Source organism: Homo sapiens, chromosome 15 (genome assembly GCF_000001405.40).
Source record: "Homo sapiens chromosome 15, GRCh38.p14 Primary Assembly".
In the NCBI taxonomy this organism is placed as follows: Eukaryota; Metazoa; Chordata; class Mammalia; order Primates; family Hominidae; genus Homo; species Homo sapiens.
The window spans coordinates 21400194-21414487 of record NC_000015.10 but is presented as its reverse complement, the minus strand read 5'-3'; the positions used below and the strand labels follow the sequence as shown (position 1 = coordinate 21414487).

Genomic DNA, 14294 nt, shown 5'->3' with positions numbered 1-14294 from the left:
TAAGTTAGAGTCAACTTTAACCAAAAATTTTCTGTATAAAAGTTGCCTTCAATTAACTATGTTCAAAATGAAAGTATTTTATATTCCAGAATTGTAGACTTCATTTTAAAATTTTGGTCAAGATGAATTGGTTAATAATAGCTCTCAGGAAGATCTGTTTTCCTTTTTTAAAATACATATTTCTCTGTATAATTTATTCCTTAAAATTAATTATTTTCTTTCTGTTTTTGGTATTTTTAGAAGCTTTTGCTCAAGTCCTAACATAATCTCCAGTAGGAGATTTTAATCTCTTTGTCAGTTCATGTATGTATATGGTAGTGATACTCTCTTTTTAAATTCCTTTTCTCATTCACTTTCTTCTCAGTACAATAACAGTGATATTCTTATACATCTTTACCTCATTTAAAAGTAATTACAGTTTTCTGCTGGCAAATTCAGCTTTTTATATTTTGACTAAATACTAGGCTAAAATTGAAGAAAATTTACCAGGTCATTTTATTTTCAAACAAAATCATTACTAATAAAAATTGCTATTTTTGAAATATAAATAATGACATTTTGATATTTTAAAAGTAAGGATACACCCCCCCCCAATAGTTTCGCTTTGTGTTTCCACCCAAATCTCATGTCAAATTGTAATTCCCAGGTGTTGAGAGAAAGACCAGCTGGGAGGTATTGGATCATGGGGTCGGTTTCCTCCATGCTGTTCTCTTGATAGTGAGTTCTCACAAGAGCAGATAATTCTATAATGGGCTCTTTCCCTTTCACTTCTCTCTCTCCTGCCACCTTTTGAAGAAGTTGCCTGCTTCCCCTTTACCTTCTGCCATGATTGTAAGTTTCCTGAGGCCTTCCCAGCCATGTGTAACTGTGAATCAATTAAGCCTCTTTCCTTTATGAATTACCCAGTCTCAGGTATACATACATACATACATACATATATATATATATATATATATATATATATATATATATATATATATAATTTTCTTTATTCCACTCATCAGTTGATGGACACTGGCTGATAACATATCTTTGCATATGTGAATTGTGCTGCAGTAAACATATGTATATAGGTGTCTTTTTGAGAGTATGATTTCTTTTATTTTGGGTAGGTATCCAGAAATGAGAATGCTGGATAGAATGGTAAGATCTACTTTAACAGAACTCTCCATAATGTTTTCCATAGATTTGTACTAATTTGTATCCCCACCAGCAGTGTATAAATCTTCTTTTTTCACCACATCCACACCAACATCTGCTGTTTTTTTTATTTTAGTAGTGACCATTCTGGCTGAAGTGAGGTGATATCTCACTGTTGTTTTATTGTACATTTCCCTGATGATTAGTAATATTTAGCATGTTTTTATATTCTTGTTCACCATTTGTACATCTTCTTTTGAAAAATGTCTATTCATGTCATGTGCCCACTTTTTAATGGAATTGTTTGTATTTTTCCTGCTGATTTGTTTGAGCTTCTGGTAGGTTATGGACATTAATCCTTTGTTAGATTCATAATTTGCCCATATTTTCCCCATTGTATAGGTGGTTGGCTCACTTTGATGATTATTTCTTTTGCTGTGCTGAAGCTTTTTAGTTTAATTAGGTCTTTATTTATTTATTTATTTATTTATTTATTTATTTTTATTTTTGTTGCTTTTGCTTTCAGGGTCCTCATCATAAATTATTTGCCTAGGCTAATGTCTTCTGGTCTTAGGTTTAGGCCATTAATCCATCTTGAATTAATTTTTTACATGGTGAGAGATAGAGATCCAATTTTATTCTTCTATATGTGACTATCTTTTTTTCCCAGCACCATTTGTTGAATAATGTGTACTTTCTCCAGTGTATGTTTTTGTATCCTTTCTCAGAGATCATTTGGTTGTAAGTGGCCTTTTTTCTGAGTTGTCTATTCTGTTCCATTGATCTGTGTATCTACTTTTATACCAGTACCATGATGTTTGTTACTGTGGCCTTAGAGTTGAAGTCAGGTAATTTGATGCCAACATGTTTGTTCCTTTTTCTTGGTATGTCTGTTGCTATTCAGGCTCTTTTGTGGTTCTACATGAATGACAGCTTTTTAAAATAACTCTGTGAAGAATGACATTGGTACTTTGGTAGAAACTGTATTGACTCTGTAGACTACTTTGGGCACTATGGCATTTTCACAATATCAATGCTTTCAGTCCAGGAACATAGAATGTATGTTCATTTATTTGTATGATCTATGATTTTCTTCAGTGGCGTTTTCCAGTTATCCTTTGATAGATCACTCACCTCCTTCATTAAGTATATTCCTAGGTATTTTACTATTTTGCAGCCATTGTAAAAAGGATTGGATTCTTGATATGACTCTCAGCTTGGTTGTAGTTGGTGTATAGTGGTACTATTCATTGGTATTTGTATATTTTGTAACCTCTGAGACTTTACTAAATTCATTTATCAAATCTAGGAGTGTTTTGTAGGAGTCTGTAGGGTTTTCTAGGCATAAGATCATATCATTGGTGAAGAGAGAGTTTGACTTTCTCTTTTCCAATTTGGATGCCCTTTATTTCTCTTGCCCAATTGCTCTGCCTAGGGCTTCCCAGTTTTCTTCTTAATAAGCATGAAATAAAAGTGAAATTGAAAGCGATTAATGATCAGTTTATTTCACATCTCTCTCTCATACACAGATAAAATTAATTCAAAGTTCTATGTTAAAAACACAATATTAGACCCTGTCTTGTTCCAAAGGGAATTTCTAATTTGTCTATAAATTACAGAGGAATCAAGAATATAAGTGGAAACTGTTTCCAAAAAATAAACATAAAAAGTTTGAGTTAACACAGGGGTTTCCAATCCCCAGGCCACAGACCAGTACCAGTCCCTGGCCTGTTAGGACCTGGGCCACACAGCAAGAAGTTAGTGGTAGATGAGCAAGTGAAGCTTCATCTGTTTACAGCCACTCTCTGTCACATTACCACCTGAGCTCCTCCTCCTGTCAGATCAGCGGTGACATTAGATTCTCATAAGAGTGTGACTTGAACCCTATTGCAAGCTGCTCATGCATGGGATCTAGGTTGTTCACTCCTGATGAGAATCTAATGCTTTATGATCTGTCACCATCTCCTGTCACCCCTAGATGAGACCATCTAGTTGCAGGAAAATAAGCTGAGGGCTCCCACTGATTCTACATGATGGTGAGTTATATAATTATTTCATTATATATTAGTAATAATAGAAATGAAGTGCACAATGTATGTAATGTGCTTGAATCATCCTGGAACCATCCCCCACCTCAGGTCCATGGAAAAATTATCTTCCACAAAACTAGTCCCTGGTGCCAACATGACTGGGAGAGCAGGGTTAACAGATGTGAGGCCCCTTTGCCTTGTCTTGGATTAATGTGCAGATATACATTGTGTGAATGACATCTGATGGTGCCATCTTGTCCTGTAGATCATTTTAGGGACACCTCCAGTATTTCATGAAAATTAAAATTTCTTCTAGTGACGAACAAAATGATACCCAGAAACAACTTTCTGAAGAACAGAACACTGGAATATCACAAGATGAGATTCTGACTAATAAACAAAAGCAGATAGAAGTGGCTGAAAAGGAAATGAATTCTAAGGTATTTTCTTTAGTCATTATCAAATGTTTTCATATGTGTGTATATTTTTAAAAAGCTTTATTTTGGAAGGTATAAAGGATTTTTAAATCATATATATACACACGTGTGTGTGTGTCTGTGTGTGTGTATATATACACACACACACACACACCCCCTGTATATCCTTGGTCATATATCTATATATGTACACATAGGATAAAGCCATGTTCTTAATTCAACTGCATTTGCCTGCAACAGTCGAGTAGTGACCTTCACAATGGCCTCAATCCAAAGGAAAAGCATTTGATATTTTTCATAAGAATTGATTATCTTTCCAATATCAAAAATAAGTTTTGCTACTAACAACAGATTTGCTAGTTTTGGGACATTAGTTCTTTTTAAAATATTAATAGAGAAGTCAGTTTGTTATTTTCACTAATAGGAAAGTAGGAAATGTACAGCTGGGTCAGAGGCCACATTGTGGATGTCATTATCCTTGCTTTTGAGGAGAGGAACAGTTTGCTCCGAGTAGTTTCTCATTTCAATGCAAAGAGCTTTGAAAACAATGACATGCCATGATACACATTTAGTGATAATTTATTGATAAGTATTTTGTTCCCAGATGAATAGTTCAGTACGTTTCCCGTATTTCACACTTACTACTATAATGTTTCAAACATTATGAAGAGGAAAGAAAAGTTATTGCAATGGCAAATAATCTCATGATTTCTAAGAAAAGCCTTGTAAGTTATATCTTATTTATCATTTGTATTTTGAAATAAAAGGCTTCTTTTGTATTTATATATTTACACCACAGAAGCAACTGATTTTGTGGAGGATCACTAGCAGTAGCATCAGAAGACCTGGCAAAAATCTTGCACGTTGCATATATATATGTGTGTGTGTGTGTGTGTGTGTGTGTATTCTAGATGGAGTCTTGCACTGTCACCCACGCTGGAGTGCAATGGCACAAACTCAGTTCACTGCAACCTCTGCCTCCCAGGTTCACATGATTCTCCTGCCTCAGCCTCCTGAAGTGCTGGGATTACAGGTGTGAGCCACTGGTCCTGGCTGCATATATTTTTTGATCTCTCCTTTTAAGAATCGTGATCTTAAATGAGTTGAGTGTTGTATGTAGAAGTGCAATGCTTAGATGCCGGTGTGTACATTGTAGAAGGGTACAACGCTTAGATTTAACAGTTATGAATAAATGTAATTCTTATAACTGACTGTAAAAATATTAGAAAAGCAGTATATTGATAAAACATTCCTCAGAAAAAGGAACTTAAAGAACTTTGAGGAATTGCTTCTGTCCTAATATATGCATAGCTAAGGCTCTTATGATGGTGTGGTTTGTAGGTTAGATATCAGAGTGTAAACCCAATTTAAAAAATGTAGCCAAATGTATTAATCTTCTATTTTATGCCTCTGGGTTTTTTGTAATTCAGAGAAAGGCTTTCCCAATTCTGAAATTCTTAAAAATCCTCTAGTGATTTATTTTTCATGGTCTTTAGATAAATATTTCAACTTTTTGGAATTTACACTCTTTTAGATTTGAAGTTTTGTCCAACTTTTTTCCAGTTAAATATCCACTATGGGAATTATTTCATTATACAAATATAAATGTCATTCTTTGATTTTAGAAGAAATCATGATATGTCATTCTATTGAGTGCTAACTAAAAGTTCCCTTTGTTTACTTAGCTTTCTCTTAGTCATAAGAAAGAAGAAGATCTCTTGCGTGAAAACAGCATGTTGCGGGAAGAAATTGCCATGCTAAGACTGGAACTAGATGAAACAAAACATCAGAACCAGCTAAGGGAAAATAAAATTTTGGAGGAAATTGAAAGTGTAAAAGAAAAACTTCTAAAGGCTATACAACTGAATGAAGAAGCATTAACGAAAACCAGTATTTAAGTACAGTGGACAGCTTAGGATTTTGACAACTGAGAATGCTCAGTTCTGAACTGGAGAATGTAAGACACAGCTAGGAAACACTGGAAATGGAAATTCAATCATGTCATTGTAGACTGACTACTGCTCTACATGATTGTGATCAAAGTCAGATAGCTGAAAGGGACTTCTTTCCAGAGAACAAACATCAACAGGTTTATTTACAGGAGAAAATGAATTCTTATATATCTCACCTAAAAGATAACAGTGAGATTCTTTCTGAACAACTCTAACGCTGACAGTAAAATTAACAACCTAAAAATTAAGCTCCATCACACAGGATAAATTCTGAGAGAAAAGATGAGGCAGGCCACCATCTTTCCTGTTTGGGCAACTTAGTCATTCCAGCGTGCGGGCTTTGGAGAGTACAAACTCACCAGGGACAGAAGAGATCCTGTGGCATAGCACAGCTGCTTTACCAAATCATGGCCAGAATGCTTCTGTAAGCAGGCCCCTGATCCTGTTCCTCGTCACTGGACAGGATCTCCCACCTGAGGCCTCCAGCTACACCCACCAGTGTTCCCTGGCCAATGGAGATTTGAAACCTTCCTGGGACAGAGTTCCCAGAGAGAGGGGTGGGCCATGATGGGCAGGTCTTCCTGGCCTGGGTCTCCAGCCAGCCCCCCACTTGAGCCTTCAAGCCAGTAGCAACTCAGCAACTCCCTGGACAGAGCTTCCAGGAGCAACAGAAATCCTCTCTGCCACTGCCTCTGCAGTGGAACTGCCCTTGCTACCCTCAGAATGTCAAGGGAGCAAAGACCCTAAGTGCCATATTGACACCTCCAACAAGCTGCAGTTGACACAAGGAACAAGTCAGTCCATCTTCCACGGGTACAACACACCCCTTACTGCTCATCAACAGACAAGGAACCCTGGCTTGGGCCCACAGCACAGACCCTCCATCCTGGGGTGATTACATTAAGTAACTCCTAACTTACACCTCTCTGGGGTGTAGCCCCCAGGAGACAAGGAAAGTGGTGGAGCAGCAAGTCAGCTGATGTGGAGCCTGGAGGGCAGGGACATCTATGTCTCTAGGCTCCACTTGCTCTTATGAGACACTTTATCCCAGCACTTAAGGAGTGCTGAGGTCAGACCAGCCCCATCTCACGTGCAAGATTGCCCAGCACAGATCAGGTCTAAGAGTTCTCTTCCTAAAAAGGGGGACTTGCTTAAAAAAGAAGTCTGGCCGCGTTTGTGTAGAGCAGTTGTGCTGTGCTGAGGATTCACTTTTGAGAGAGTTCTCCTCTGAGACCTGATCTCTGCTGGGCAGTCTTGCACATGAGATGGGGCTGGTCTGACCTCAGCACCCCTTAGTCTGCTTGCCTCTCCCAGGACCCCAGCCAGGCCACACCTGCTTAGAGGGCACTTTTGGGTGCCCACACCATAGCTTCTGTACAAGCAGACCGTGGCTGATCAGTGGAGAGCTGCAGCAAGGTGACCTCTACAGCCACGTACCAGCCTGCACATTACCTCTCCATACTGCAGCCCTTTATATGGAAACTTCCTACATCACTTAGCTGTGTGTGTTTACACAGGTGGGTTTTGTTGTACTTGCCCTAACAGCATATGGGAATGCAGCACACACCCCAACCCACACCAACTGCCACTGAAGATGAAGCCATGGTGGGCACAGAACCAAAAACCCCACCCCTGCTAGCATCTCACCCTTGAGGTAATGCTGTGCAGAGGAAAAGGGACCTTCTTATACCCTGAGTGACCACTGTTGCTTGGGGGGGATCAGAGAAGGCACCTTCACTGGCCAGCCACCCACCCCAAACCAGAACTACCTCCAGTGCAACAGCACACACAGTCAGCAGGGGCCCCCTGGCCCACACCCCAGCTGTTTTGCCTCCACCACTAGGTGAATGCCCACAGGGAGGCAGGGACTTTTGCATCTGCTAGCATTCTGCCACAGCTGCCACACTTTGGTCCCCTCAGTGCGGTGGACTCCAAACCTCGATGAGCCAGAGAACAAAGTTGTGGCCCAATACAAGTTCCCCAGAGTTAAAGCACACAGTCCAAGAATTGGGAGCTGCATGTTGGCCCCTTAAAATCCTCCAAAGACAAAACCTGTTGGCTGAATCCACCTTACACCACAATCAAATCCTCAAGGTCATCAGATATAATAAAGGAAAAATACCCTGTCCAAAGGTCAGCAGCCTCAAAGATTGAAGGTGGATAAGCCCATAAAGATGAGAAAAAGACTCTGTGCAAGAACACTGAAAACTCAAAAATTCAGCATGCTTTCTTTTCTCCAAATGACTGCATCAACTCTCCAGCAAGTGTTCAGAACTGGGCTGAGGCTGAGATGTCTGAAATGATACAAGCAGAGTTCAGGATATGGGTAGGAACAAAGTTCCCTGAGTGAAAGAAGTATGTTGTAATCCAATACAAGGAAGCTAAAAATCATTGTAAAACATTGCAGGAACTAACAGACAAAATAGCAAGTATAAAGAAGAAAATAACTGACCTGACAGAGCTGTAAATCACACTAGAAGAATTTTCATAATGCAGTCACACGGTGATTGTGTGTGATTGCATTATGAAAATTATTGTAGTATGTGTGGGCACCTGAGAGTGCCCTGTAAGCAGATGTGGCCAGGCTGGGGTCCTGGGAGAGGCAAGCAGACTAGGGAGGGCTGAGGTCAGACCAGCTCCATCTCATGTGCAAGACCATCCAACAGAATAGACCAAGAAGAGGAAAGAATCCCAGAATCTGGAAACTGGCTTTCTGAAATAAAACAGGCAAACAAGAATGGGGGAAAAAAGAATGAAAGGGAATGAACAAAACATCCGAGAAATATGGGATTATATAAACGACTAAATCTATGACTGATTAATGTACCTGAAAGAGATGAGGAGAATGGAACCAACTTGGAAAACACATTTCAGAATATCATTCATGAGAATGTCCCCAACCTAGCCAGACAGGCCAACACTCAACTTCAGGAAATCCAGAGAACCTCAGTAAGATATGCCATGAGAAGATCATCCCCAAGACACATAATCATCAGATTCTCTGCGGTCAAAATGAAAGAAAAAGTGTTAAAGGCAGCTAGGGAGAAAGGCAACATCACCTGCAAAGGGAATTCCATCAGACTTAGCAGACCTCTCAACTGAAACTGTACAAGCCAGAAAAGATATTCAACATCTTAAAGAAAAGAAATTTCAACCCGGAATTTCATGTCCAGCAAAATTAAGCATCATAAGTGAAGGAGAAACAAGATCCTTTTCAGGCAAGCAAATGCTGAGGGAATTCATTATCACCAGACCTACCTTACAAGAGCTCCTGAAGGAAGCACTAAATATGGAAAGAAAAGACCACCACCAGCCACTACAAAAACACACTGAAGTACACAGACAAGTGATGCTAAAAACCAACCACATACATAAGTCTGCAAAAAAGCCAGCTGACAGCATGACGAGAGGATCAAATCCACACATACCATTACTAACCTTAAATGGAAATGGGCTAAATGCTCCAATTGAAAGACACAGGGGGCAAGCTGGATAAAGAACCAAGACCCATTGGAGTATGCCGTCTTCAAGAAACCCATCTCACATGCAGTGCCCTACATAGGCTCAAAATAAAGGAATGGAGAAAAATATTTCAAGGAAATGGAAAATAGAAAAAAGCAGGTGTTGCACTCCTAGTTTCTGACAAAGCAGACTATACCAATAAAGATTAAAAAAAAAAAAAAAAAGACAGAGGGCTGGGCGCGGTGGTTCACGCCTGTAATCCCAGCACTTTCGGAGGCTGAGACAGATGGATCACAAGGTCAGGAGATCGAGACCATCCTGGCTAACACGGTGAAACCCCGTCTCTACGAAAAATACAAAAAATTAGCTGGGCATGGTGGCGGGTGCCTGTAGTCCCAGCTACTTGGGAGGCTGAGGCAGGAGAATGGTGTGAACCTGGGAAGTGGAGCTTGCAGTGAGCCAAGATCGTGCCACTGCACTGCAGCCCAGGCAAGACAGTGAGACTCCGTCTCAAAAAAAAAAAAAAAAAAAAAAAAAAAAAAAAAAAAAAAAAAAAAAAAGAGAGAGAAGGAGATTACAAAGGTGGTCCTGACCTTTGATAAATCTCATTATTGCTTGATACCAACCTGGGCTATCTTTATTGCCCAAACCAATAGGATAATGTGCTGAGGTTAGGGAGCTTCTCCCCTGCAGAGAATCCCTGATCTCCCAAAATTTGGTTGAGATCTAAGGTTGATTTTGCTATACAACTCCTTTTCTGAAGTTTTACTTATTTCCAACAAGGCAAGTTTTCCTGCTTCCGTGATGATGGAGAGCAGGCACCTCCTTTCTTGAGTTTCAGCTTGCTTCTGACAGGGAAGGTGAGTGTAAGTTTTTTCCAGCTTCTAAGATGGCAGAGAACAATCACCAGCCTGAGACTTATTTCCAGGTAAGTAGCTGAATTAGAGTTTTGTCTTAAAATTTTTCCTTAATGACTAAAATTTAAGATTACTCACCAGCTGCTTTTAATTTCTCGTTACCATTAGAACACTCAGTAATCATATGAATTGTGCATTTGTTTGTTTTGCTTAACTCTTTTTGTTTGTTTATGTTTGGGGTTTTGTTGTTGTTGTTTCACTTTTCTCCCATCTCTTCCTGACTTGGTGAAATCCAAAGAATGCTCCAAATTGTGGGGAACAAGGCTTCTGAATTGGCTAAAACTCATGTGGCTGCAAAAAAAAAAAAAAATTCCAGTTAGCAGAAATGATTTTTTTAACTTTTTTATTTTTATTTTTTACATAAGTGGTTGCATCTTTTGCTAGCCAAGGCCAAACTGAGGGAGTAGTGGTGGCGACCCAAAGTTAAGATTCTGCCCTGTTCACTACAGAAACCTGAGTTTGGTTCCTAAGTCTAGTTCTTTCTGTTTGATATTTGTGTTACTTTTAAAATATCAGCAGTTTGTCCCAGCTATGATGTGGTAGTAAAAGATTCAGAAGTATTTTCTTTACAAGTTCTATGTTGAAAAGCTTAATTAAAAGCAAATTTCTTTTTTTTTAAATTATACTTTAAGTTCTGGGGTACATGTGCAGAACATGCAGGTTTGTTACATACGTATACACATGCCATGGTGGCTTGCTGCATGCACCAACCCATGATCTAATGCCATCCCTTTTCTAGCCCCCCACCCTGACAGGCCCTTGTGTGTGATGTTTCCCTTCCTGTGTCCATGTGTTCTCATTGTTCAGGTCCTACTTATGAGTGAGATCATGTGGTGTTTGGTTTTCTGTTCTTGTGTTAGTTTGCTGAGAATGACAGTTTCCAGCTTCATCCATGTCCCTGCAAAGGATATGAACTCATCCTTTTTTATGACTGCATAGTATTCCATGGTGTATATATGCCACATTTTCTTTATCCAGTCTATCATTGGTGGGCATTTGGGTTGGTTCCAAGTCTTTCCTGTTGTGAACACTGCCGCAATAAGCATACGTGTGCATGTGTCTTTATATTGGAATGATTTATATTTTTTTGAGTATATACACTGTAATGGGATTGCTGGGTCAAATGGTATTTCTAGTTGTAGATCCTTGAGGAATCATCACACTGTCTTCCACGATGGTTGAACTGATTTATACTCCCACCAACAGTGTAAAAGCATTCCTATTTCTCCACATCCTCTCCAGCTTCTGTTGTTTCCTGATTTTTTAATGATGGCCATTCCAAGTGGCGTAAGATTGTATCTCATTATGGTTTTGAATTCCATTTCTCTAATGACCAGTGCTTTGCTTCACATGTTCATTGGCTGCATAAATGTCTCCTTTGGGAAGTGTCTGTTCATATCCTTTGCCCACTTTTTGATGGGGTTGTTTGTTTTTTTCTTGTAAATTTGTTTAAGTTTTTATAGATTCTGCATATTAGCCCTTTGTCAGATGGATAGATTGCAACAATTTTCTCCCTTTCTGAGGGTTGCCTGTTCACTCTGATGATAGTTTCTTTTGCTGTGCAGACACTCTTTAGTTTAATTAGATCCCATTTGTCAATTTTGGCTTTTGTTGCCATCGCTTTTGGTGTTCTAGTGATGAAGTCTTCGCCTATGCCTATGTCCTGAATGGTATTGCCTAACACAAGGACATTTCTGTGCCTGAATGCCATATCTCCCAAAGTAATTTATAGAATCAGTGCTATCTCCATGAAGCTACCATTGACTTTCTTCCCACAATTAGAAACACTACTTTAAATTTCATATGGAGCCAAAAAAGAGCTCGCGTAGCCAAGACAATCTAAGCAAAAACAACAAAGCTGGAGGCATCACGGTACCTGACTTCAAACTATTCTACAAGGCTACAGTAACCAAAACAGCATGGTACTGGTACCAAACCAGATATATAGACAAATGGAACAGAACAGAGGCCTCAGAAATGACACAACACATCTAAAACCATCTGATCTTTGACAAACCTGACAAAAACAAGCAATGGGGAAAGGATTCCTTATTCAATAAATGGTGTTAGGAAAACTGGCTAGCCATATGCAGAATACTGAAACTGGGCCACTTCCTTACACTTTATACAAAAATTAACTTACGATGGATTGAAGAGTTAAACTTAAGACCTAAAACCATAAAAAACCTAGAAGAAAACCTAGGCCACCAAACTCAGGAGAAATGTACTTGTAGTGCAATGCATGGTACAAACACACATTCCCTGCTTCCTTAAGTGGGTGAGGTTGGTGGCTGGTCCACCTGCTCCAGGTGGATCCTTGCAGAGGTGGCTGGTTGCTCTTTGAGCCAGCTTGGCCTTGCCTGGCATTCACAAGCCTCAGTGCAACAACTGTGCTACAAATGGAGCCACACAGAAAATGACCAGCAGGCTCAGGAGCAGGGTGTACACTGCCTTTGGGGCTCCAGTCCATGCCTCAGGGCTCATATGGCACCGTGGGCTTCTTGGTTGCCAAGAGGCAGATCACAGGCCATCTTGTGGAGGACTTTATGTTCAAGTGCAGAAAGCAGCCAGGATTACAACCTAGGGGACTCAGCCTTTTGTGACCCTGGCCAGACTTAGAATTTGGCCCCAGGCATGGCACGCTCACTCAGAGTAGCGTGTCAGTACCTGGGGCCTGTGCATGCCAGGCAAAGCCAAGCTGGCTCAAAGAGCAACCAGCCACCTCTGCAAGGGTGTGCCTAGAGCAGTTGGACCAGCCACCAATCTCACCCCCTCAACAAAGCCGGGATGGCCAGGTTCCCACAGCCTGAGTGGCTGCCACCTGATGGCTGAAGGAGCAGAGGCCTGAGGAAAAGCAGATGGCACTGGGGCCCTACCTTTAGGATAGAAGAACTGAGGTACCATGTCTGGCAGCGAGTGATGTTGGTGGCTGGTCCACCTGCTCCTGGCACACCCTTGCAGAGGTGGCTGGTTGCTCTTTGAGCCAGCTTGGCCTTGCCCAGCATGCACAAGTCTCAGTGCAACAACTGTTCTACAAATGGAACCACACAGAGGACATTAGAGGCAGGCTCAGGAGCAGGGTGTACACTGCCTTTGGTGCTCCAGTCCATGGCTCAGGGCTCATATGTCACTGCGGGCTTCTTGGTTGCCAAGAGGCAGACCACAGGCTGTCTTGAGGAGGACTTTATGTTCGAGTATAGAAAGCAGCAGGATTACCACCCAGGGGACTTGGCGTTCTGTGGCCCTGACCAGACTTAGAATTTGGGCCAAGGCAGGACAAGCTCACTCACAGCAGCATGTCAGTAGCTGGAGACTATGCATGCCAGGCAAGGCCAGGCTGACTCAAATAGGAACCAGTCACCTCTGCAAGGGTGCACCTGGGACATGTGGAGCAGCCACCAACCTCAGCTACTCAAGGAAGTAGGGATGGCCAAGTTCCCACAGCCTGAATGGCTGCCTCCTGATGGCTGATGGAGCAAAGGCCTGAGGAAAAGCGGATGGCACTGGGGCCCTACCTCTAGGGTAGAAGAACTGATGTGCCCTGACCTGCAACAAGTGAGTTTGGTGGCTGCTCCACCGGCTCCTGGCACACGCTTGCAGAGGTGGCTGGTTGCTCTTTGAGCCAGCTTGGCCTTGCCTGGCATACACAAGCCTCAGTGCAACATCTGTGCTAGGTATGGAGTCACAGAGAGGAAATGAGCAGCAGGCTCAGGAGCAGGGTGTGCGCTGCCTTTGGGGCTCCAGTCCATGCCTCAGGGCTCGTGTGGCACTGCGGGCTTCTTCGTTGCAAAGAGGCAGACCACAGGCCATCCTGAGGAGGACTTGATATTCAAGTGCAGAAAGTAGGCAGGATTACCACCCAGGGGACTCTGCCCTGGACAGAGATAAAATTTGGGCCAAAGCAGAACAAGCTCACTCAGAGCAGCATGTCGGTAGCTGGGACCTGTGTATGCCAGGCAAGGCCAAGCTGGCTCAAAGAGCAACCAGCCACCTCTGCAAGGGTGCACCTGGAGCAGGTGGAGCAGCCACCAACCTCACCCACTCAAGGAAGTAGGGATGGCCAGGTTCCCACAGCCTGCATGGCTGCATCCTGATGGCTGATGGAGCAGAGGCCTGAGGAAAAGCAGATGGCATTGGGGCTCTACCTCTTGGGTAGAAGAAGTGATGTACACCGACCAGCTGTGAGTGAGGTTGGTGGCTGGTCCACCTGCTCCTGGCACACCCTTGCAGAGGTGGCTGGTTTCTCTTTGCGCCAGCTTGGCCTTGCCCAGCATGCACAAGCCTCAGTACAACAGCTGTGCTACAAATGGAACCACACAGAGAAAACAGAGCAGCAGGCTCAGGAGCAGGGTGTGT

General features: G+C 41.7%; 1 protein-coding gene and 1 non-coding gene across 2 annotated transcripts in view; one reads left to right on the top strand and one right to left on the bottom strand.

Annotated features, from left to right (window-relative positions):
- Positions 1 to 9087, top strand: part of POTEB3 (POTE ankyrin domain family member B3) — a 35099-nt gene extending 26012 nt beyond the window's left edge. Inside the window, exons 10-11 of the mRNA NM_207355.5 lie at positions 3487 to 3610; positions 5293 to 9087. Coding sequence (NP_997238.2) covers positions 3487 to 3610; positions 5293 to 5505 — 337 coding nt within the window. The 3' untranslated portion in view covers positions 5506 to 9087. The remainder of the gene's footprint in view (positions 1 to 3486; positions 3611 to 5292) is intronic.
- On the bottom strand, positions 8029 to 8103 carry MIR3118-3 (microRNA 3118-3). Its single transcript, NR_036063.2, has one exon. It is a non-coding gene; the product is annotated as a microRNA 3118-3 (primary transcript).
- Positions 9088 to 14294: the final 5207 nt, after the last annotated feature.